The 24,918-nt window shown below is 40.5% G+C and overlaps 1 protein-coding gene across 11 annotated transcripts in view, besides 3 other annotated features; it reads left to right on the top strand.

The window, feature by feature from the left end:
- The window catches only part of LEF1 (lymphoid enhancer binding factor 1), a 121,385-nt gene that overhangs the window by 50,715 nt on the left and 45,752 nt on the right, over window positions 1-24,918 (top strand). The gene's annotated exons all lie outside the window — the stretch shown is intronic.
- Window positions 336-845: an enhancer, noted in NCBI's record as "NANOG hESC enhancer chr4:109038529-109039038 (GRCh37/hg19 assembly coordinates)". NCBI's record gives its function as "activates a minimal SCP1, AML or CMV promoter by ChIP-STARR-seq in primed H9 embryonic stem cells {active_cell/tissue: H9 hESC(primed)}" and the evidence as "EXISTENCE:reporter gene assay evidence [ECO:0000049][PMID:30033119]".
- Window positions 1,180-1,249: a silencer, noted in NCBI's record as "silent region_15615". NCBI's record gives its function as "represses an Ori minimal core promoter by ATAC-STARR-seq in GM12878 lymphoblastoid cells {active_cell/tissue: GM12878}" and the evidence as "EXISTENCE:reporter gene assay evidence [ECO:0000049][PMID:35858748]".
- Window positions 1,440-1,599: an enhancer, noted in NCBI's record as "active region_21794". NCBI's record gives its function as "activates an Ori minimal core promoter by ATAC-STARR-seq in GM12878 lymphoblastoid cells {active_cell/tissue: GM12878}" and the evidence as "EXISTENCE:reporter gene assay evidence [ECO:0000049][PMID:35858748]".

Raw genomic sequence — 24,918 nt, 5'->3', positions numbered from 1 at the left:
CAATGCAATGGAAATAAAAATAATTATTTGTTCTTGTGGTATGCTTAAAAGGATCATGGACTTTGGTGAAAGATCTGGATTTGACTCCTACCTCTACTACTTGTTAGCTGTGGGATCTTATGCAACTCATTTAGTCTAAGCCTCGTCACTCCCCACTCCCTACTCCCTAAAATGGAAATAATGATAGCAATCTCACAGAGTAGTCATTGGGACTGAACATTTATTTAGCATAGTACTTGGCTCATAATGACTGCCCCAAATGCTAGTAATAGTAATTGTGGCTGTTATCACTGCTAATATTAAGTTATATTTCACAAGTGCTAATTAAGTCCTGTTATCTTCCTGAGCCTTGGTTTTCTTATCTCTAAAATGGGGACTTGGGAGGTGATCTCTAAGATTCTTCCAGTCAGACCTTTCCAGTCACCCTGCAGAGGCTGGCGAGCTGCCCATTGCTGGGACCCTTCACGCCCACCCTGATCCCCTCCCTGCTCTTCCTCCCCCTCCCCGCAAAGCTTCTCTCTGGCCAGTTCTGCTCAGCAGGAGGTCGTTTGATCAAAGCCCTGGGAAAGGTCAGACATTCCTGGAGTGGTGACACTCAGCCGGCTGCAAGAGCTGCCCTTACAGAACCTTGTACTGCAGAAGCTGTAGCTCAAATGGAGAGGCTTTTCTAGGAGCCATTTTCTGAGCACTGTGGCGTAGCCCAGCTGGGAAGAAAGTTACTGAAGAACACCTGTTTGGGGGTGGCTGTCAAAAGCTTTGTTATGCTTTCATTTTCTTTTGGGATGTGCAAATGGTGGGAATAGAAAGGTGGAGGTTGAATCTTGTCATAAAGATGCTAACAAGTGGTAAATTACACTATAGTTAAACCGTGCAACCATTAAAAATTCTGTTAAAATATTTAATCACGGTAAAATATTTACAACATGTCGAGTAAATTAGATTATAAAATAATATCAGGGTTTTTTTTAAAAAATGTTTATATGTGAAGGTATAATGGAGAAAAATTAGGAAGAAATTTATCTCTAAGTTTTTTTCTGGGTGGCAGTATTAGGTAATTTTTGTTTAGATTTTCTAAATGTTTTACATGGGTTGATTCTAATGAGGAGAAACAAAAGAAATAAAATCAAAGAAAGAACCTTAATTGCTTATCAGATGAAAAGGCTAACCTCTTCACAGAAAAGAGGATGTGTGAATGTGAATTGTGTACAGTGATGTCTCACAGTGAGGGCACTCTGTGTCACACGTTGCCACCTTTGGCATCTTGTGGGCTTGAAGCTATAGAATGTGACCAGTCTCTTTACTTGTGGGCACTTACACAGTGCTTATGATGTGCCCAGCACTGTTCTTGGCACTCTAATACTAACTTATTGAATCCTCTCCACAACTTGCTGAAGCAGATCCTATTATCCTTACCTTACAGGAAACTGAGAGACAGGGATGTGAAAACACACAGGGCACACAGCCAGTGAGAAGCAAAGCCAAGATTCACACCCAGGTTCACCAGGCCCCAGAATCCAGGCTCCCACCACATACTGTTCCACTTTGCCCTGAAGTAAGACTCTTGACAGCCCTCAGGGCAAACAGCTCTCAAGTTGGATTTTATGTGTGTGGCCATCATGAGGGTTAATTGGGGTGTACTGTACTCTAGTGTGGTTCAGAAGTGGACTCGGAGGGCTCTTTGGTCCCTTCTTTTTGTTTGAGACAGTCTTGCTCTGTTGCCTAGGTTGGGGTACAGTGGTGCAATCACAGCTTGCTGCAGCCTCTACCTCCTGGGCGCAAGCAGTCCTCCCACCCCAGCCTGTCAAGTAGCTGGGACCACAGGCATGTGCCACCACGCCCAGCTAACTTTTCTATTTTTTTGTAGAGATGGAGTTTCACCGTGTTGCCCAGGCTGGTCTTGAACTCCTGGGTTCAAGCAGTCCTCTCACCTCGGCCTCCCAAAGTGCTGGGATTACAGGTGTGAGCCACTGTGCCTGGCCTGCACCCTTTTTTCTTGCTTACTGTTTCTCTTTCCTGTCAGCTGAGTCCAGCTCATGTCCCCCTGCCCTTTTCACTGTTTGAGTTCCAAGCCAACTCCCACACAGCTACCTTGATCAGATTTGACTCTCTTATTTTACCTCAGAGTCAAAATCTTGCCTGGGCGGGAGCACAGCAGTGAGCCTATAGCTTAACTTGGAATTGAAACCACCATTTATTTTCCTTCTGTCATTGTCAGGGACCTCAATTGTCTCTACAAAAATAGCTTTCCATAACTGCTCCTCAGTAGAGGGAAGAAAGCAGTAAAGAGGAAGGGGCACTGCAGCCTTCAGACCGCAGGCCTGCCTTACAGCCGTGTGTGTGTGTGTGTGTGTGTGTGTGTGTGTGTGTGTGTATGTGTTACATTATAGGCAGACCTTTTAACCTCTCTGGGCCTCAGTTTCCTTATTGGTAAAATGCAAGGATTGAAGTAAATGAATTTCAAGGTCTCACTGCTCTGATGTTTTGAAAAGCTTCAGTGTATCTTTCAACATTTTCCATTACAGATTCTTTTTTCTCATGCTGTAAATGCCAGAAGCAGAGAGAGGTTAGTCTTATCTATTTCTACAGCAGCAGCTACACAACTATCTTATTCTTTCTCTCTTTAACCTCTTCCAGTCTGATTAGGACTCAGCTTCATCCTACTGTTTTGATAGCAATTATCTATTCTGTGGCATCAGCTACTATTTATTTTTGAGATAGAGCTCAGAGTTACCAATTCTTGGGTTATTAGCACACTTGTATTTAGCAAGACCAATAATGTGAACCATCTTAAAATTAACACTTAAAAAGAAATTTTCTCAAGGTTACATAGCAGAAGAATGACATGGACTCACCATAGCCACTGAGAGAGCGGGTAGCTTCCCAGTATTAAACCGAATTATATCTGAGTAACTTCTCTTGATCAAGTCTCACCACTGTTTCTACTTACTACTACTGTTCTTGCCCTCATATTCATTCAGTTGTGTCTATTGATCTCTGATCTATTTGGATAGCTCATTTCCAATATATAAATTTGGATACTTGCATTGTCAGTAGATACTTTTTGTCCCTAACAGATAGTATAGGTGTGCGCATGGAATTATATGTGGACATAGATCTTTATTTGAAGCCTTACAACCTAAAATGGATTATAAATTGCTTCTTTAAATTTAGCCTCCTGGATTTAGGTTGTCCACAGCAGGCCAGTGGGAGCACAATTCGGATGCTCGTCTCCTCCTGTCCCATCCCATCCCATTCCGTTCCTTTTAGGCAGCAGCTCCCTGCCCTCCTCGAGCCCCATAAGTGCTGCTCGGGATAATTCCATCCTGGGCAAATGCAGGGCAGTGGTCTCTGGAGTTTCTGTTCACAGAGGAAGCCGGCTGTTCCATTTATAACAAGGAAGGGTAGTTCTCTCAGACATTGCACATACACTTCAACGTGATGTAACCTGATAGCCCCTGACGGAAGTCCTAAGGCTCTCTCTTTAAACCCTTTTCCAGAAGGCAAGGTGTTTTCCTTGCTCTTTGGCTGCTGCTCACAGTATTTTCGTGTTATCTCCTCAGACATTAAGTCCCATATCTTTAGCTCGCAGAGTTTGTCTGCTCATATGCACCACACTTAAACGTCCACATCTAGAAAACACTCTTGTTTTCACATCACTTGGGGCTGTTTCCCCAAACTGCTTACCTTTTCACCATGGCTTTGCTGTTTTCCTCATTTTGACCTTTTCTTGTTAACATAAGATGCTTGTGTGTTGTTTCTGCAATAACCACTTTCTGGAAGGGCCTAGTTGACATTTCTTATCCTGCTGTTTTGACTGTGATGATGATGATCATTATCATCATATATATGATTCTTTGCATACAAAGTGCTTTTACAAACCCTTTATCGTTTAGGCCAAGCTTGGTCCTCCTCCCTGGCTTCTTGTTACAGATTCCTTTACTTGACTCTGATAATACTTTTTAAATTAGTTTGCTTACCAAGTGGGTTAACAATAAAGAAGAGAGAAAATCTCTGAAGGACACTTTTCCTTTATGTTTGTTTGCCTAAATGCTAAATAACTGGCCTATTACAGTCACAGAGTATGACTGTAACTACTGACTTAAATATGCTGATTTTCTGCAATGAAAAGAATAGCTTTTGATAAATGTTAATAAATAGCTCAAAATTTTTGAGTAATCATAACTTCTTGAATTTTCTATAACATACTTGCCTTAAAAAAAACTCCAGATTGCTTTAAACTTATGTGTTTATTTTTTATTCTTTGTCTTCATATAGTGGTTTTTTAAATGAGTTTAGGGTCTAGAACTAAATCTTTTACAGCTGAAAGCAGAACAAAGCAACTTTCAATTGGATCCGTCTTTTCTTTTATTCAAAATGATTATTCTAAGCACTTGTGACAGTGGGTAGCTGAGTAGTAGAAATAGCCACATAGTGCTTCATCCTCCTTGCCTCTCTTACTTTTCTCTCGACATGCATACCTGCAATTTATCCATGGTCCCACCCTCCCAACACATTACTGCTGTTTTGCATTTGCCCATCCTCCCATTTGAAGGAGTGCCAGGGAGGTCCTGTTGAATTCTTCGAAGAGCAGATTTGTAGTTGTTGTATGTTTTGGTATTTTGACAGCACTAGATGCAGACTTGGGTTTAGGGTGCTGTGATCTGCGGCAAAAACAGGATGTTTTAGGTGAGCCTGACTGTACAGGCAGTGGGCTTGTGGCAGGGTGGGTACTCCCTAACTTTGGTCCCCGTTTCCCTCCCACCCCCACAACAATTTCTTTGTGTGTGGGTTTGTTTCAGGACTTGTCAAAAGACAGTCGTTCAGTAGGTGTTCCCTTCTCCCCTGTAACACAGCTGCGGAGATCTGCACTTCCCCCACCCAAACTCAGCTGGCTCTCCTCCCTGACACATGCCCCTGGCAGCAACTAGTGCTCTGGAGCTCTTCTACCTTTTTTCTGCCGTTCTCAAAATGCTATCTGGTTCCATGTAGCTTTCTTTCTGATTTCCAGATTGAAAAATCTGAATAGATTTACTGGCAAAATGTATTTCTTCCTCTTTAGTGAACTGTATGGCACTAAACAAAGAGAATGGTTTCCATCATTGTATTAATTAAAAAACACACCCTGTCTGTTTCACTATAAGAACATCTCACCTCGGATAGCATTCCACAGCTCAGAGATGTGGCAGCATCAGGCTTCCATTCCTGGGCTTCTGCCATTCTAATGTTGTTTTTCCTCCAACAGGGTGGTTTCTGACAGTGCTTTGATGACATTGTCTAATGGTGTACTTAATGGGTAGCTGGGGGATGTCTTAGAGACAGATAATATTTTACTTTGTAGAGTTAGACTCTGGTTTGACTCTGCCTTTTCTGAGAAGGCTGTTTCTCTACAAGGGTATAGGATTAAAATCAGGAGCATATACTAATTATGTGAAACTATTTGTACTAATCCCACTTGCAGGTAATGACATTTGTTTACTGTGCAGCTGATGCTGATTTATCTTTACATTTTATCTAGTTAACAAACATACTTATATATCATTACGAGCCAGAAATCATTCTAAGAACTTAACTAATAGCAGCTCACTTAATCCTTAACAACCCTATGAAATAGGTACTGTCATCATGATCCTTATTTTCCAATGAGGAAAAATCAAGGCACAGAAAGAATAAGTAACATGCCCAAGGTTGTACAATAAGTGTCAGAGTTGAGATTCAGCCCCTGGCAGTCTGGCTTCAGGCGTCATCCTCTTACTGCCTCATGGCTGTGTGCCCATGGGTGGGTGGGACTGGCCATCACACAGTCCTGAATGGCATTGCAAGGGACATTTTTCTCATTGCCTGGAGAAACCAGGATCAGAACACTCTACCCCAGGCATGGGGCATGCAGCGAAAAACTGACTCTCAAGCCTAGGAGCTATTTGTATTGGCTTTGGTCCTTGGACCTCTGCTTACAGAAGCAGAGACCTCACAGCCTTCATCTGACCACACGAAAACCATCATAAGCTCATAGGACAGGGTTCCAGAGATGGAAGCTTCTAATGCCCCAGCAGCCACACAGTGTGTATCAATGCCTGACCTCCCAACATCCTAGCACCATTGAACTCCCAACAGGTCATTACCACTGTTTTTTGCCTGTTTCCAACAGCCGAGCTCTTTGCATACTCAGATCACTAGCTGCTGAGCCTTGTAGGGGAATTAGGGCAGGGTCGATTTCACAGATGAGAAGATACAGTGTCAATAGTCCACCATAAGACTAGGACCTAAATCCTGCTGCCACTTTTTTTGTATGTCAGTACTTTTACTTTTTAACCTGAGACAGGTTCTCAGTCTGTCACCCAGGCTAGAGTACAGTGGCGCAATCACAGCTCACTGGAGCTCCCAAGCTTAGGTGATCGCCCACCTCAACCTTCTGAGTAGCTGGACTGGAAGGGTGCACCACCATGCCCTGCTAATTTTTTTGTATTTTTTTGTAGAGACAGAGTTTCGCCATGTTGCCCAGGCTGGTTTCGAACTCCTGAGCTCAAGCAATTCACCTGCCTTGGCCTCCCAAAGTGCTAGGATTACAGGCGTGAGCCACCACGCCTGGCCTGTATGCCAGCACCTTTCTTGCCTCCCTCTACCTCATTTTTTCTTTACTCTTCCTCCTCTGATTAAATAAGGTAAATGGTAATAAATGACAGTTAGGGCTGGAAATATATATGGTGGCTACAAAAGATAAAGAATCACTTTTTGCAGGCATCTCCTGTTTTCCCCTCCTTTCCTCCCTTCAGGCAGGAGTTGTGTGGCCTGCAAGATGGCCTGGTTGCTGGAAGGTGACTTAGTCAATGATGCAGTTCATTGGCTGGGTCCCCAGGTACACTCAGCAGGTGGTGCTTTCAAAGATTAGCTACAGGCCAATGTGCTGAGAATCAGGATAATAATGCATCTCTTGTGCAGTCATCACAGCTTTAGATACATTCAGGAAAAAAGCCAGTGGGAATGGAAGGAAGGCAGAGACTGTCACAACCACCTGGGCACATCTTGCATTTCTTCATTTGTCCTTACAGGGGCTCTGTTTGCATCATTAACATGAATAATTCTTTCTTCCTTTTCATTATGTGTTCTTTCATTTGGTGTATCCTATGGAAATATTGGGGGTAGTTATTGATTAGCACTATATTTTGCCTTGGAAGAACTTAGAGAAAATTACTGATCCAATTTTACCCAATTGTTAGGTCATCTTTCTATATACTAGTTTACCTATCTTTCATCCAATTTAGTAAGTGTTCATCTTCATTGAAATGCCATAAAATGAGTTGTAACCTAGAGTCTGGACAGATTTCAGAGATATTATGGTTCTAGGACCTACTCAAAGTTTGAAATAATAGGAAAGATTGCAGTGTGCTTACTAAGCAGCCATGAAGGGCTGTGAATTCTGCATATTTTCTGTAATTCTTACTACAAAACTGTAAGGTGGATATTATCTTCATTTTACAGCTGAGGAAGCAGCGGTTAAGTCACTCAACGAGGATGATGGAAGGGAGCAGGGTCGAGGTTTGAGGCCAGGTCTGTCAGTCTTGTCGCATACCTAGGAGACCCGCATGATGTGCCCATTGCAGGGGGTGGGGCACAGATCAGCTGTGGTGATTTCCTGAGAGAAGCAGTGATACCATTCTTAGGAGAGTAAAGAAAGAAAGAACATTGATATGTCTGTCTCTTTAGTGGGGAAAAAAGCTCCATTGTGTTTTTTTGCTTTAAAATATCCATAAAAATTCAATCTCAAAGACAATTGCAATCATCCTATTAGCAACCTTCTAGGCAACAGACAAGCAGTAGTTTCACTAGGGGCGTAGTAAGGCTATTAAGTTGTAGAGATAGTAAATGCCTGCAATGTATCATGTTTGAGAAAAATTCTGACTTCAGAGAAACAAGAATAGTGAAACTTGTTAATTTTAGAAAGTGAAAACATGCTCTATAAGGAAATGGTTTATAATACTTAGTGACCCCTGCTGCTGTACTCAAAATAGGAAAGGCAGAAACATTTAACAGTTAAGTATTGTTTGGAGAATGTTAATTTTCTACTTGGAAAACTGTTTGCCAACAATGCCACCTGCCATTCTTCTGCATCTCCCCTCCTACTGGAGGCTTCGTGCTCTTGCTGAAGAGAACAGTTCTAATACAAATCCTCATTACTTTCCCTTTCACACCTTTCCCCCACTAGACTTTAAAAGTGATAATTGCTTGAAATACTGGGAGAAACTAATTTGTATTGGTAAAGCTCCCGTGAACTTCAAACAAATCTGTGTTCTCTAATGGTGACTTCTTTTTAATTATGAGGCTGGGCAGGTGTGTATTTTGTAGACCTGCTGTGCCTGCCCCCCTTCCCCAAGAGCCTCCCATCTCAGCCTGGGACACTTGATGATGGAAAATAACTTCTCTGGATTAAAAAAACCATCTCTATGTATACAGTAAGAGGCCATAGTTTAGAACCTGAGGGAATGTCTTATTCAGTACCCTGAATGTTTTGCCTTCTGTTTTCTAGATTAAAACTTACATTAGATGGGAGTGGTAATATCTAGTGCCTATTGGTCACCATTCTAAGCACTTCACATGTTTTGTTTTAACACTTACATAGTACTTGCTATGTGCCAGATGCTGTTCTAAGTGGTTTGCAAATATTAATGCATGTCCTGCTCATACAGTCCTTCAAGGGTCACTCTGTTCTTAATACCATTTTACAAATGAGGAAAAACTAGGCACATGGAGATGGAGAGACTTACCAAAGATCACCCAGTTGGTAAGTGACAGAAGTGATATTCAAACCCAGGCAGTCTGTCTCTGGAGTTCATGCTTAATCACCTTCCATACTGGAAAACAACTTGTCCCTTTTTCATTTTTAGAGGCCTTTCTAGGTGATTACAGCCTCCAGCAAGTCAACAGCGTTTAGCTTCTGTCTGTTAATAATTGAAATGAATTGAGCGCCGAGGAAGTGCTCAGGCTAAAAACACTGAGACGTAATAGTTGATGGCCTTACAAGGAGTGGATTTCTCTTCTTTCCTCCAATTTAATTAGTTCTGCACAGGGGCTAACTGAAATATGCCTAAAGATTGCATGCCCACAGCAGATAAGTAGCTTCTAGCAGATTTAACAAATTACCCTTTGTCTGCCAAGCTCCTTTGTTATCAAAACTACATCCCTAGGTAGAAATGTTAAGTTTTTGCACATCAAAGTTTGCATGCTAAGCTGGGGACACTGGAGAGACCTATTGAATTTGATCCTTGGTCTGGTTCCAATCCTGTATTCCTGGTTGCAGATACAAAATGAAATACACACATAAGTCAACTCTATTTGTACGATCTTCAGTCCAGATCTTTTTAATGTAATTAAGAGGGTAAGAGTATGAAGGAGGAGAGAGAAACTTGCAGCTCAACAGGAAGAGCTCGTTTGCTTGTTTTCTGTTTATTTTTTATCCTAATATTTAACTGCTAATCCTAACGCAGTGCATGTGTATCTTATAAATAAAGAAACTGAGAAGTTAGTGATTTGTATTGGTTTCTTGAGTGATCCTGTTTACCACATGGAAAAGTCTGGTGAGATGAACAAGTGGGACTGCAGCACTTGCATGTTTCTCCTGACAGTGTGGCTGCTCTTATTTTGATGGAAGTATCCCCAGTTCCAAGACCACTGGACATCTCCCACATTTTAATATAATTTATTTTATACATACAGAAGGAGAACAGCATCTTTATGTCATGCTTTAGGTTGGATAGGAAAAATCAAGTCCAGAAAAATATTATTAGCGCTGCATCTCTTAACCAGGTCAGGTTGCAAGGAGAAAGGGTATACTACGAGTGAGTCAAATCTAGAAGAAGCTGAAAGTAAGAAAGAGGTGCTATGACAAACTGATTGCAGATAAGATGATGATAATCTAAGACCTTTTTTTATTACCAGCACAATGTTAGGCTTGTTACAAAACAGTCATCTCTTGCAAAGCACCTGAAGGTTGATGTGGAAAGTCTGAGCAACTGGAAAGGAAACCTCAAAGTCGAAGCACACTGTTAAAAGCTGTGTATCAAGGTTGAGGTCCTTTGTAACTATACACTTTCCAGAGTGATTGAATAGATGGTTGGGTCTCATCGAAACTTGCATCTCTCTCTTGAATTAAAGCGAAGACCAGCCTCACTTTGTAGCTTGCTTTGCTTTTCCCTGTCCCTGCCCAGGAGACCTGTCCCTTTCTAGCCCGCTTTAGCACTGTGGATGTCTGACTCTGAATTGAATTGTGAGAGCTGTGCTTTCTGGGGATCTCCTAGCTGTAAGCATCTAGAAGATCAGTATAAGCATCTTCATGTGGTAATTGTCCTTTTGAGTTATGTGCCTGTAGTAGGTTTTCTGTCTGTTGTTCTTTCTCTTATCAGTAACGGGGAAAATGGCAGTGAGAAGCAGCATGTTGGGGGGCGGGGGTGAAGAGTGAAATTGGACTGTTAGACTCCATGATAGTCAAAGGACATAACATCCTATTTTACTGTCCTTCAGAAGAGCTAAAATGTTCTCAGAGAGTGACAAAAAGATGATAGTTACTTCCTTGACAGCAACATAGGGAGAAACTTTATGAAAAGCTAGAAAATTTATATGCATCTGACTTCAGTGACTATCCAAAATAAATTTCAAAGTATACAATTTTTTTTTTTACAAGACAGCTCAAGTAGCACCACCATTTCCCTTTAAAAAAAATAAAATAAGCCTTTTCCCTGATTGTAAGGATTATGCACAATATTCTAGATAAAAATTTTGGAAAGCATAAGAGACGAAAATTACCTATAGTCTCACAAGTTAATATTGTGGTTTACATTTCAGTGCATATACTTCTGGTCTTTTTTTCTCTTTGTAGACTTTCTACGAAATTTCATATTTTTCCCAGAAGTCAGGCTGCTAGATCTGTGTGATCTTTACCAAAAAAAGAAAAAAAAAAAAACACCTTTCTCTGTCTCTCTGCTTATAAATTCTATCAAGTTTGCCTGCAAAGGTCATTGACCTCAGCTCTTCTTCCGAGGCATGGGTCCATATATTCGTGCAGAATAAAACCAATAAAAGTCATAATGAGGGGCAGAGAGAGTGGATTGTTTAAAGGCTCACTCCTTTCGAGCAAGATCAATGAGTCTTTTTATCTTAAGAGGCATGTGAGATGTGGGGTTTTTTTGTATTTTCCAATCATGCACAAGTGACCAGCCAGCTGTTGGACTCTGGGTGACAATGCTTGTATCTGACCTGCTGTCTGATTTTTTCTCATTCTTCTGTCACTACCCATTTTTCAACCTGTGTCCGCCTCCATGCAGATGGGTTTCCTCTCTCTGTGCACTCACAGAAGTAGAAAAGGAATGTAAATATGTGTAAACTCCCCTTCATTGGTGAGTGTTTTTAGATGACCATGTAATGTCACTTTTTCTTGCATATTTTTGACCAACTTGACTGGGTTTTGGAAAAATAATTTGTATTTCTCCCACTGATCTTTGCAACTCATCCAGGATAGGTAGTCTTCTGGAGCTATGGGATGGCTCGGAACCAGAAGTTGAGCTTTAGAGTCTAGTGCTGGCTCTACCACTTTGCAGCCCGATGACCTCATACAAGTCACTTTATAACTTGTGTTGCATGAAACGACAACAAAAGTACCCTAATGTGTGTACATCAGTGCACCATATTGTCGCTGGCTTGCTTCCACTGGACACTGAAAATGAAGCCCATCATCTTTCCTCATCCTGCCTGCCTGCCCCATCCTAGTCCGTAAAGGCAGCCTCAATCTTGAAAACCTGGAAGCCTCTTTCTCCTGGCCTTTCCCCTTCACCCGGCACACCCAGGCTGTTACTGTCTTCTTCCCTTCCTTATTACCTCCTGCCTGGAGTTTCATCTCCTAATGGCTGGTTTTGTTCTTAACATTACACATTATAGGTGTTTGCATATATGTCTTACCTCCTTGAGTAGATACTAAGTTTCTTGGGAATAGTGATGAGATTTTACTTATCTTTGTCTCCTTGTCATGCTTCCTTGGGATAGCACCTTAACATGGTAGGCATTTATTTACTTAAGTACTTTTTGAGTTGGATAGGTGAAATTGACTGATCAGACCGTTGATCTCCCTGAGCCATATCTGGGCTCACCTCTGAGCATTTGTGACTGGGTCTGGTAGTAGCTTTGTATCCCAGGTGGGGCACTGGATTCGGGGTGGCAACATTTGGAGCCCGACTGCAGACCCAGCTGCCTGACTTGTCTGAATATCACTTTCGTCATTGACTGACTGAGGGTGGTTAGAATTTATTGAACGCTTAGGCTCCTTCAGCTCTGGAATTCTACATTAATAAACTGCTTTGCACTTGATTACTTTGAAGTGGAAGTTTCCCCCCTTTCTTTATAAGGTAAATGAATATTTCATCTCAAGCCCAGGAGTCACTTTGCACATATCCTGTGATGGGAGGCTAATGAAAGCTTTGATAGAGACCTTAAATTGGGAGAGATGGGATCATATCCATTGCTCTATCATAAGAATTTCACCAGGTCTATAGAGAAACGAGATAGAAGACTTAAAATTTTCATTCATAGCTGTACAACTCATGATTTGAAACATTATTAAAATTAATTTTGAAAACACTTGGGAAAATGGAGATGTTTGAGGTAAAAACAATTTTTGAAATTCAAAGAGTGGCTTTTAACCTTTTCATTAGAACCCTAGTAGTCTTCTTAAGGAGTGGATATTAAAAGCGGGTTCAGGCTGGGCGTGGAGGCTCACACCTGTAATCCCATCACTTTGAGAGGCTGAGGCGGGCAGATCACCTGCTGTCAGGAGTTCGAGACCAGCCTGGCCAACATAGTGAAACTCCGTCTCTACTAAAAATACAAAAATTAGCCGGGTGTGGTGGCACACGTCTGTAGTCCCAGCTACTCAGGAGGCTGAGGCAGGAGAATTGCTGGAACCCGGGAGGCAGAGGTTGTGGTGAGCCAAGATTGTGCCACTGCACTCCAGCCTGGGCAACAGAGCAAGACTCCATCTCAAAAAAAAAAAAAAAAAGTGGATTCTTCATGCAATTTTAAGTTTAAAAAAAGCAGTGTTTTTAAATGTAGGAAAAACGTAAACCCATAGTATTAAGCTCTGAGGGTTAAATATGTATCGTTTCCAGGTTATTGATGAAGACTAACTGGGCCTGATGACAGAGACTTTTGCTCATGCCTGTGATTTTAGAGTCTGCACGTTCTCTTCAGCTCCCGTGTCACATGCCTATCTCTCACCTGGCAGCTGAGAACAAGCCTAGAAGACAGTGCGGACTCCCAGGAGGCTTGCACATTCCCTAATTGTCCTCTGGCAGTTTGGAGGATACCTGAAAAGGCACACCTCCAACTCCTAGCTGTCAGTTCACCGGCATGCCCCCAGAGAGTCAGATTGATGCCATTTATGGAACTCCAGAGAGAGCCCTGGAAGGGGAGGGGCAAGGAAAACTAATAACAGCCCTTTTGCCATCATGGGGAGATAGGCCCAGGAATTGAGGGCGGGGAGTGGGAAAGAGCATTCATAGGTATGTCCTTCATACGATAGTTTGGGTGTCACCTGTCTGCCTAAACATATACAATATGTCGTACTTTGCTGTGGGTTGGACACTGGTTATATAGCATCCCAATTTTAGCTTGCTGGAATTCCCCTGTCATCACTACATGTGAAATTACAATGTTCAGAGATATAATATGTATATTATTATTATATAATAATTTATATATATATTTTATATATATAATTTATATATAATATTTATTGTATTTTTATATATATATAAATTTCACTTGGTAAAATTTCACTTGGATTTGCCTTCTGTATAAAGTAAAATTAGCCTTCAATCAGTGGTTTTTGGTATATTCACTATGTTGTACAACTATCACCACTGTCTAATTCCATCACTCCAAACAGAAACCCGGTATCTGTTAGCAGTCATTCTCAATTACTGCCTCCACTTAGCCCCTGGCAACCCCTCATCTACTTTGTTACTATGACTTTGCCTGGTCCGGACATTTCATATACATATACATATACATATCATATAATATGTGGCCTTTCTGTTTATGGTTTATTCACTTAACAGAATGTTTTCAGAGTTCATCCATTGAATGTCAGTACTTTCTTCTTTTTCATAGATGAATAATATTACATTGCATTATATGTACCACAATTTGTTTATCCATTCATCAGTTGATGGACATTTTGAGTTGTTTTCAGTTTTTAACATTGTTAACATTTGTATATGTGTATTCATGTGAATATATGATTTCAATTCTTTCAGAAGGAGTGGCATCACTGGGTCGTATGGTAGTTCTATGTTTACCTTTTTGAGGAACTGCAAAACTGTTTTCTATTTCTTTTGAATATCTTTAAACCTCAAAACATCAACTACTTAGAATTTTTTAAGAGGAAGAGGGAGTTAAATTAACACTTTTCTTTAGAGAAAACAACTGAATTAGTAGTAAGAGGAGAAGGAAAAATTCAGGTTATGTTAAGCAAAAGAAAACATTATTTACATTGACTTACAGTGTCTCCACATTTACACATTGAAATGATTAAATAGGGTGTGTGGAGAAAATGAATTCCCACAGATCTTTTAATAGATATATCCAAATTCCGGTGAAATCAGTTGTAATTATGGTCAAGAATTAGATGTAACAAGGTAGAGAAGATATCTTGAGCATTTCTAGTTAGCTGGAAGAATTGAGAGCGTGAAGAAATTTGTAGCGTAAACTGGAAAATTAAGGGGAAGGTGAAAAACATAGGCACATAAATTCATTCCTTAAAATGGATGTTTCTTTGTTCTGTGGATGGGATTTTTCTGAATATGCAAGAATAGCTTACATTCTTTCTTGACATCCCATTTATCAGCTTGTCCTGGGAATCACAAGGCTTGTGAATAATATACTGATTGATTGTACTGTTCATTAGCACATTCACATGATATTACATAAACATTTCTAAAACATAAACACAGATGATGACAGCATTTTAGGAGGAAGGCGAAGGTTCCATAGTGATGCTTTGTTGTTTGGCTGCGTGTTTGCAGCTTGACAATTCTCACTCTTGCCTCTGAGGCCTAGTGGCCCACTCTAGGTCAACTTTTGAGACCCACGTAGTGACGGGAGCTGCGTGCTCTTAGAGAACCAGAAAATGGGCTGCATCATGGTTTGGTGAAAGAAAACAGGATTGAGTTCTACTGCTTTTGGACTTTGCTGAGCTTTCTTGTCCTTCTCTGAAACATGGGATATTTATTAATACCTTTCTTGCAGGGTGATAATGAGATCCAAATGAGATAAGGGTCATGGAAGCACTTTGTAAGCTAATGTAAATGTGATGGTTTTCATTATTGTTTAATTATAGCTTTCTCCCTCAAGACATCACCCTTTTGTTGGAGGAGCTCATTCATAGCTATACCACACTGCCAAAGATGTGTCCTCTTTGAAATAAAGTACTTACTGGAGACTTAGAATCCAGACCACTGGAATAAGACAGGACTCTTATTCCATATTTGCTGTATGTAAGACCCTAGCTCTGTAATCATACAAGGCATAGAACTTAGAACCACTGAACATCATGTCCCTGTATCAGCTGGAGTCTTTGCACTGACTTTATGTCTATGCAACTGACTCTAGGTGCCTCCTATCTCCTTCCCTTCTTCTGAGACTGAGGAATGCCACTTTCCTCATCACAGACTTGTCCAACTGAGTTTTTCTGTGAAGGTTAATTTAGTGGTAGAGATTCGAGGCAGGTCAAAGGCACAGGAGTACAGAGTGGTGCCTTTGCTGAAGAGAAAGGGCATAGCCCTTTGTGGAATTTTGGCAGGATGACCACGTCTCATCTGTAGGTTGTAATGATTAGCACAGCCTTACAGGTCCCTACGCTGGAAGAAATCAGGTTAGTAATAATTTTAATGAGAATTGAAGTAATGTAATGACAGAATGCTCCTGCTCTGTGTCTTAAATCTGTTCTGTAAGCTTTATTGATGTTCTTCAAATTACCATTTATGTTCTTTCAGATTCCCAGTGCACGTTGCCATTAAACCAGTGCCTACCATCAGCAATGTGGCATTGATCCATTTTAAAACTGATTCTTAAAATGTTCAGTAAATAAGTCCGTCCTTTCTTTTTTTTTTTTTTTTGAGACCGGGTTTCACTCTTGTTGCCCAGGCTGGAGTGCAATGGTGTGCTATCTTGGCTCACTTGCAAGCTCTGCCTCATGGGTTCAAGTGATTCTCCTGCCTCAGCCTTCCAAGTAGCTGGGACTACAGGCGCATGCCACCATGTCTGGCTAATTTTGTCTTTTTAGCAGAGATGGGGTTTCTCCATGTTGGTCAGGCTGGTCTCAAACTCCTGACCTCAGGTGATCCACCTACCTCGGCTTCCATATGCAGTTCTTTCTTTTGCTTTCCTGACTTTTTTCCATAGCTGCTTTTAGCCATAGTGTCAGAACTACAAAATATTAGAGTGTTGAAATTCAAAGCTTTAGAATTTCATTTATCATTTGTGGATAGCAGGAATCCAGTGCTCACACTTTATCATTTCTTGATAGCAGGAATCCAATACTCATGGGTCGCAAACTCCAAGTTGTTGTACACAGGAACTTGCCTACCCACTCCTCTCACTTCTGTTTACCATTCTTGCTACATGCAAGAGTAGACTGTCTTGAGAACATTCTTCAATAAGCCCTTAAATTATTTTTACTTCTTTACCCCTCTTCCTGAGATTCACAATGGTTTTCAGAAATCCCTAAGCTGATTTTCATATTCTCTAGAAAGAATTTGTTTCTTGAGTGAACCTGCTGCAAAGACAAAAGTGTCTCATCTTTCTCTATTTTAATACTGTATTTAGCCCAATGTCAGCTTCTGTGCATTTGGCCTGGACAACTGCGCTCTGATACACTGCCTCATGTCGAAAGCTGCATTAATTATTCTTTAATGCACTTGTGAAAGTCTCAATTATTTGCTTTTTTTGTGTCTTATGGATAACTTTCTAAAATAATCACATCAAACGTTTTACATTATGCCTTACATTAACACTTTCCTTGAGAAGTAAAAGGAAGAAAATACCTGTGAATCTTCTACAAATCTCTTCTCATTGCTGTGCAGTAAAGTTCCTCCTTGTATCCAGTGACTCAAACCCAATGCTGTCTAGACCCAAGGCAAGGAACCAGACAGAGTAATTAGGGACAAATGCCTACACATCCCTCCAGTGTTAGCAGGAAGTGGGTCATGAAGCAGGTCACCCCAGACCATGTTAAATGATAATCTTTGAAATTTTTCATCTGAAATAGTTTCAGACAGAGATCAAGATTATGATCCTCTTGTTTGTCAAAGAAATAAATAAGAGTTTTTCACCTAGTAATTTAGGAAGGGATTCAGTGTTTGCCAGTGGGGTGCTGTTATATGTGAAACAATTAGCTCAAGGGAGAGGGGACTTTTCACATGTGCCAATTTCCATGGTATAAATAATCCTACCATGACCAATTTCAGGCTACCAACATGATAACAGGCTCTCAAAATTCCTGAAAATTTAGCCATCAGGTCTCTGAGCTAGAACAAGCCGGCTCCTGGACACTACTGTAAATTCAGGGTAATGTAGATTGCTCTCGGGAAAGATACATAGGTTAGGCATTCAGTATCTGTCTTGAATTCTTCAGCATGTTCCCCTAAAAGAGATGGAAATGAAAATAAACTTCAGGAGGAAAATTTTCTATTTTTAATACATGGAACAAAGTGGAGTTTATCTTTGATTTTATATTCACAGAAATGCCCTTTTTCACTAGCAGAGAATAGCTGTTGTCTTTGCTACTACAGTTTTCCATGGGTTATAGAATATTTCCTTTTTATAATTTATTAATAGAATTGAAAGTCTTTTAAAAGGTCTTTAAATTTTGCTTCCTCTTTTTTGAAATAAATGTTTTCAGGGAAAATGTTCTCTTCTGGCTTGACTTATTTGAGAGCTTTAAGATGAAGCAAAGTTACATAGAACCCAGTTTACGTAATCTGCTTTCTTTCTCATTTAAGTTTTCAGACTCAATTCCAACTCATTTCAGGTTTTGTTTTTAAGTCTATAACAAAAGGTTATTTTTTTCTTGACTCATATAAATATATCCTGTGAATAGTGTTGTCTGCAGCATCATTTTTCACTCAAGATAAGCTCTGCTTTTTCTTCCTAGATAATGTGCTATGATGTGAAATGGAAAAGATGGTTACTTGTCAAGGAATGAGTTCATCAGTAACTTGTAATGAATCTGAAAATGTGTGTTAGGTATTTGTAAAAGTTATCTGAGTTGACTGGCAAGTTGAAGAAGTTACATATAACTGCTTCAAGACACACAATTTAATCATAAGGATCATTCTACCCTGCTTTTAGTAATTTTTTTTACACCATAAAATGAAAGGTTATAGTTCTGTACTAGTTGTCATATAAATATTTGGTTTTAAATATATTGACTTTAGCATTTGGAGAAATACCTAATGTAGATGATATAGGTTGATGGGTGCGGCAAACCACCAGGGCACGTGTATACCTATGTAACAAACCTGCATGTTCTGCACACGTACCCCATAATTTCAAGTATTATTTATATATATATATATATATATATATATATATATATATATATATATATACACACACACACACATACACACACACACATATACACATATATATATATATATACATACACATATATATATACATACATGTGTATAGACTTGACTCTCAGTATGGGATATTGAAATGTAATGTTAAATTACCAGCTCTGCCACTTACCTTCTCTGATTTTCAGTTTTTTTACCCATAAGAGTTCTTTTCCATACAAGGAAGCTTTGTTTCAAAAACGCCAATTTTTTTGTTTAAGTCAAATTGGAGTACGAGACAGAAAGGGGGCAGTCCCACCTACAAATTTTTAAACTGTAAGCAGAACTGCCTGATAGAAATGTAGTGCAGATCACAAATGCAAGTCATATATGTAATTTTATGTTTTCTTAAGCTACATCAAAAGGTAAAGACAGGTAAAATTAATTTTAGTAATAAATTTATTGAACATAATATGTCAAAAATGTTATTTGAGCATGTAATCAATATAAACATACTGAGATCATTTACATTATTTTCACACACAGTATTTGAATTCTAGTATGTATTTTACACTTATGGCATGTCTCAACTTGGACTAGCCACCTTTCAAGGGCTCGACCTAATGCCTAATGGCTACCATATTGGACAGCACAACTCTACAACGCTATAGAATAGCTTTAATGCTGATCTTACAGTGTAAATATCAAATTTACATGTTCATAGAAAATGATTTGAGTTTTCCAATAACTTTACCTCTCAATTATTCATACTTTTAGTCCCAATCTGACTGATAGTAGCTGAACCCAAGTAACTTGTTGTATTTTCCCCATTTGATTTCTGAAAGGCACTTCAGAAGTTCTATAGAAAAATGAGGACCCCTGTAGACATAAATGTTATCTTTTCACTTACTAAAACACCCAATTTTAAGTAGAGAATACTGTATATATATGGCACTTATTAAAATCAGAGAAGGCTCGGTGGGACAAAATTGTACACATAAGTATTTCTGTTACTGTCCTGTAAATCCTTCACACCTGATCTTAAAGAATCAGTTTTACTTAAACTAAAATAAGGCAAATGCTTTTCCTAGAAACTTAAGTGTGAAAGCCCCCCCTTTGAATATGAAATAATTAGATTTAAGTCTGTTGGCTTCGCTTATGGAATTTTGCACCCTCCATTTGCAGTCTGAACATTTAAACAGACCATCTGCACTTCGTATCTGGGTAACTGTGGGACTTCTCTGACCTTGACCTTGGGCAGACTGTAGCTTGCCGAACCCCACCCCCACAACCCCGCCACAGGAGATCTAGAGTCCATTTCTCAGGCCCAACCATTCATTGTTTCCTGCTGGACATTCTGAGTGCCAAGGAGAGCCCTTCCACCCTCTAAACTGCATAATAGAGAGGTGTGGCTGTGGTGGCAGTGGGAAGTCCCTCCCTCTGAATATGCCATCCCTGGGCAGTGGAGGAGAGAGGCTTTTCAACCAACATGTCCCCAGACCAGCACCAGAAAACCTTGTTGAGCCTATTCAGGATTGATGGCTGATGAGGTTCTGAGGAAATCTTTCTGGAATTTGTCCCCCCTGAACCAACCCGCCCCAAACAGTGCCCTCCCTCTCTGGTTCTGGAGTCCCTGGGGTTGCCTCATGTCGCCTCCGGTCTGAGCTCTCTGGATGGTAGACAGAGAAAGCTTTTGCTCCTGACTTCTCACTCACTTTAATTGATTTGTTTACCTTCCATTATTTTCCACTGACCTGCACAAATACTACTTTCATCAAGCTGACTACACTTCAGCTTATTAATCATAATAAGTTATTATGCAGTGATTGGATTGGTAAAATACTTCTCTCAGAATAAGGCAGCAGATATTAAAAAATGTCTAGGTTTTAATCATTATGGGTACATAATAGGTATGTATATTTATGGGGTACATGTGATGTTTTGATATAGGCATACAAGGTGTAGTAATCATGTCCAGGTAATTGGGGTATCCATCTCCTCAAGCATCTATCATTTCATTGTGTTAGGAACATTCCAATTCCACTCTTTTAGTTATTTTAAAACTTACGATAAATTATTGTTGACTATAGTCACGCTGTTGTGCTAGCTATCAAAACTAGATCTTATCCTAACTATATTTTTGCACTCATTAACCATCCCCACTCACCCAACCCCCATTCCAAGCTGCTGGTAACCATCATTCTACTCTGTATCTCCGTGAGTTCAACTGTTTTAATTTTTAGCTCTCACAAATGAGTGAGAATGTGGTTATTTGTTTCTCTGTGCCTGGCTTATTTCACATAACATAATGTCATCCAGTTCCATCCATGTTGTTGCAAATGCAAAGATGTCACTCTGTTTTGTGGCTGAATAATATTTCATTGGGTATATACCACATTTTCTCTATCCATTCATCCATTAATGGACACTGAGGTTGATTCCAAATCTTAGCTATTGTGAATAGTGCTGCAGTAAATATGGGAATGCAGATAGCTCTTTAATATACTGATTTCCTTTCTTTTGAGTATACCGAGCAGTGGGATTGTTAGATAATAAGGTGATAATATTTTTAGATTTTGAGGCAACTCCACACTGTTCTCCATAGTCATCATATTAATTTACATTTCCACCAGCAGTGTACAAAGTTTCCCTTTTCTTTATACCCACGCCACCATTCGTTATTACCTGTCCTTTGGATAAAAACCATTTTAACTGGGGTGAGATGATGTCACGTGGTAGTTTTGATTTGCATTTCTCTGATGATTAATGATGTTGAGCACCTTTTCATATACCTGTTTGCCATTTGTGTGTCTTCTTTTGAGAAATGTCTATTCACACCATTTGCCCATTTTACAAAGGGATTATTTCACTTTTTCCTATAGAGTTGTTTGAGCTCCTTACATATTCTAGTTATTAATCCCTTGTCAGATGGGTAGTTTGCAAATATTTTTCCCCATGCTGTGGGTTGTCTCCTCACATCGTTGACTATTTCCTTTGCTCTCCAGAAGCTTTTTAACTTAACGTGATCCCATTTGTCCATTTGCTTTGGTAAGGCAGCAGCTTTAAATCTAGGGATCATGGGCCACTTCTTTCCCTGTCCTCCCCTGTGCATACTGCAACTCCTCTGCCCCAACCCACTGATGTGTGATTGTATTTGTGTATAAAAACATTTAAACACAGCTTTCATCTTATTTTTCATGTCTGTGATCCAGAAAAGATGAACCATTGGATTCTCGCTCTGCCCCACGTCCTTCCACTGCAAAGTTTTCCATACCCCATAGAATCCTTGCACCACTACAGCTAGTGGTCCAGGCAGGCAGCTGCTACTGCTGCTGCTCTTCCTCCTCCTCCTGTTTCTCCTTCTCCTCCTCTTCCTCTTGCCTCCTTAGAATCTGGTGAGAATCTGGTGGTCCTTTCTTTTACTTATGCCCCATCCCTCTATTTGACCTCTGAATCAACCACTGTAATGCCTTACTTGTACTATTTTACCACTAAATAGTACAAGTAAGTAAGTTGCAAATGTTTTAGTTTGTTTTTTTGGCTCATTTATCTGGAATGACTCCAGTTCCTTCTCTTAATTTTCAAAGTATTTTCTTCAACATGAAAAATTAATGGAGTACTTAGATGATTAGGGGTATGGTGAGGGTGTTGTGAAATCAATCAAATAATAGGATGTTGCAACTTTACATAATTAGATGTCATTTTTCCTTTACCCTGATCTTTCCTCAGCCTCTAACCTTAACCCCAGTCCCTCTATTTACAGGCTCCAGTTACTGAAAACAATGGGTCTCCTTTTGGCTCCCAGAATGAATTATTCCCAGAGCCTTGTTTCCTTCTCGATAAAACAGAAATCTTAACACCTAACTTAGGTATGGCTTTAGGATTAAATGACGTAATGTTTGGAATTCACCACCTTACAGAGAACTTGGAGAATAGTGGGTTTTCCATGCGTTTTAAAAGGGAGCCCTTCCAGCATTCTGTTGTAGTCTGATTGCCTCTGGTAATATCAGTTTTCTCCAAGTGGTCCACTGTTCCTCTCTAGATGCTTCATTACAGTTGAGGCCACAGCAGGCCACATTCACTTGGTTGGGGGGTAGTTTGGAATAGAGATGGAGAGAGGAGCTGAGCACCAAACAGTGTGGGGCAGGAAGAGCAGGGACTTTGGTATCAAACAAATGCCGGCACAGATCCTCTCTCCACTAATTATTACTTAGCTCTGTGTTCAAAAAGACTCAGCCTTCTCATCTATAAATATGGGGGTAATAATACCCACTTACATGGACGAGTGCCAGAGTATATAAAAGCGCTACTGTAATGACTGGTACTTACTAACTGTGCAACCCATGTTAATTCCTTTCCCTGTGATATGTTCCTTCCCCTCTTAAGAAAACATTTCAGTTGTCTGATGATGGTGCAGGTCTCTAGACCATCCCTTTTCCTCCAGAGTTGGGCTCATGGACCGTTTGAATCTTAAGATCCTGGGGCCTCGTTCTTATCTGAAAAATGCAGCTGCATCACCACCAGTAGGGGGTCTTACATTTGAAAGCCACATCAGACCTGAAGCAGGTGTTTGGCTTTGGTGGATCTTAGGAAATATTTCCAGTACCTTGTTTCTGAGGTCTAGATGCAAGAATCAATGTATCCTTTTGGAGTAAATCTGCCTCTCTTTCTGGGAAGGCTTGAGAAGCTCAGATTCTCAGAAAAGGAGGGAAAGGCGCAGCATGAAGTTACATGGCTTTATGTCACGAGTACCAGACTTCTGAAGTGTTTAATGAAAAGCAAAAATGCCACCATAACAATCAAGGCCAGATGAAATTCCTCATCTCAATAAGTTGATGAAGTGTTAAAATTCCCCTGGATTCAGTTATTACCAGAAGATTATTGATTAAATGCACAGCCAGTTGAAACTCCAGACCTTTATGCACAGCCAGATCCCGCACTTTGGGTTTAGTTTAGTTAGAACCTGGAGATGTGGAAAATGAGGACTAGCTACCAGGACAGCAGGTTTCTCCCCCAGTTACTCCTCTATCCAGGAGGCCCCAGGCCTTAGCCAGTAGGGAGTTGAACCACCTTTTTAGTTCTTCCCAGAACCACATCCTCTGAGGCTAACAGCTTTCATGACACCTTCAATTCCTGCCAGTGGTGAGTGGGTCATTTCTGGGAATGCTGCTTTGGGGGTGGCTCTCAGGATCCCTAAGTGGCACCCACTTCGTGTCCACAGGAGGTATGGGTTTTATTGGCTGTGATGCCAAAGAGGTCCTTACCTGCAGGGACCAGCCTGGGTGGCAGCCAACCAAGCTTCCTTGGCATGTTTTCCAGTCCTGGAGAGAAAGGCTGCAGTTGAGTCTCCGTAGCTTTACCCACTTCTGCTGAGGTGCTTCTTTGTCTCAAGTGATTCCTGTGCCTGGGACAGAGACCACACAGCCATTTCATAGATGTCACATGCTCTCAGGTGTGGCCCAAATGGTCACCTCAGTGTCCAAGATTTTATGAACTTGGCTTTCAGGAAGGCCACATGATGTACAGGTAATGAGCTTGGCCTCTAGAGCCAGACTTCTGCATTTGAATCCTGGCTTGGCTGCTTGCTAGAGCACATACCCTTCAAGAATATTTTCTTCTCCATGCCTGTTTCCTCATCTGTAAAAGGGGGATAATAATAGTACCTGCCTCAAAGCTGTTGTGAGGATAAAGTGCTTAGCACACAGTAAGCAGTTGGTAAGTGTTAATTGCTGTAATTACTATGTATTATGTGGGTAGGTTGGCCTGATGGTGATTTGCAAATTTAAGAAAGGGTTTCAAGCTTCTCCCTAAACAGCCATCCTTGATATTTTCTCCCTTTTCTTTCTTTCTTTTTTTTCTTTTTTAAGTATCTACTCTTTTTGTCTTTTCCTTTGCTCACCCACCAATCACCTGCCTGAGATTAAAGAATGTGCAGTTGGAATCAGAAACCAAGGGTTTTGGCCTAACTCTTACTGCCTTGTGAGCTTAAACAAGTCACTGAACCTCTGACCAGAAGTGGAGAATTTGGGGTGACAGGGCTGCCAGGTATCTCGTAAAGCTGGAGTAACTGTGCATCCTGTGACCCTGGGATAATGAAACAGAGCACATATTGGGACTACCTGGTGATTCTCAACTGGAAGCTAAGACTTACCTGATTGTATCTGTGAATCAAAAAGCAGGTGATTTTTACCCTCTCTCCCTCCTTCCCTCCCTTACAGCGAGATGTGTAGTAGGAAAAGCACCCGAGTAGGAATCAGGAGACTTGGGTTCTATTAAGTGAGGTACTTACTATGTGTACAGTAGCCAGCACAGAGTAAGA

This window comes from Homo sapiens, chromosome 4, assembly GCF_000001405.40.
Source record: "Homo sapiens chromosome 4, GRCh38.p14 Primary Assembly".
NCBI classification, from domain to species: Eukaryota; Metazoa; Chordata; class Mammalia; order Primates; family Hominidae; genus Homo; species Homo sapiens.
Note: the sequence above shows the minus strand (reverse complement) of the source record. Positions and strands in the feature narration are given on the sequence as shown.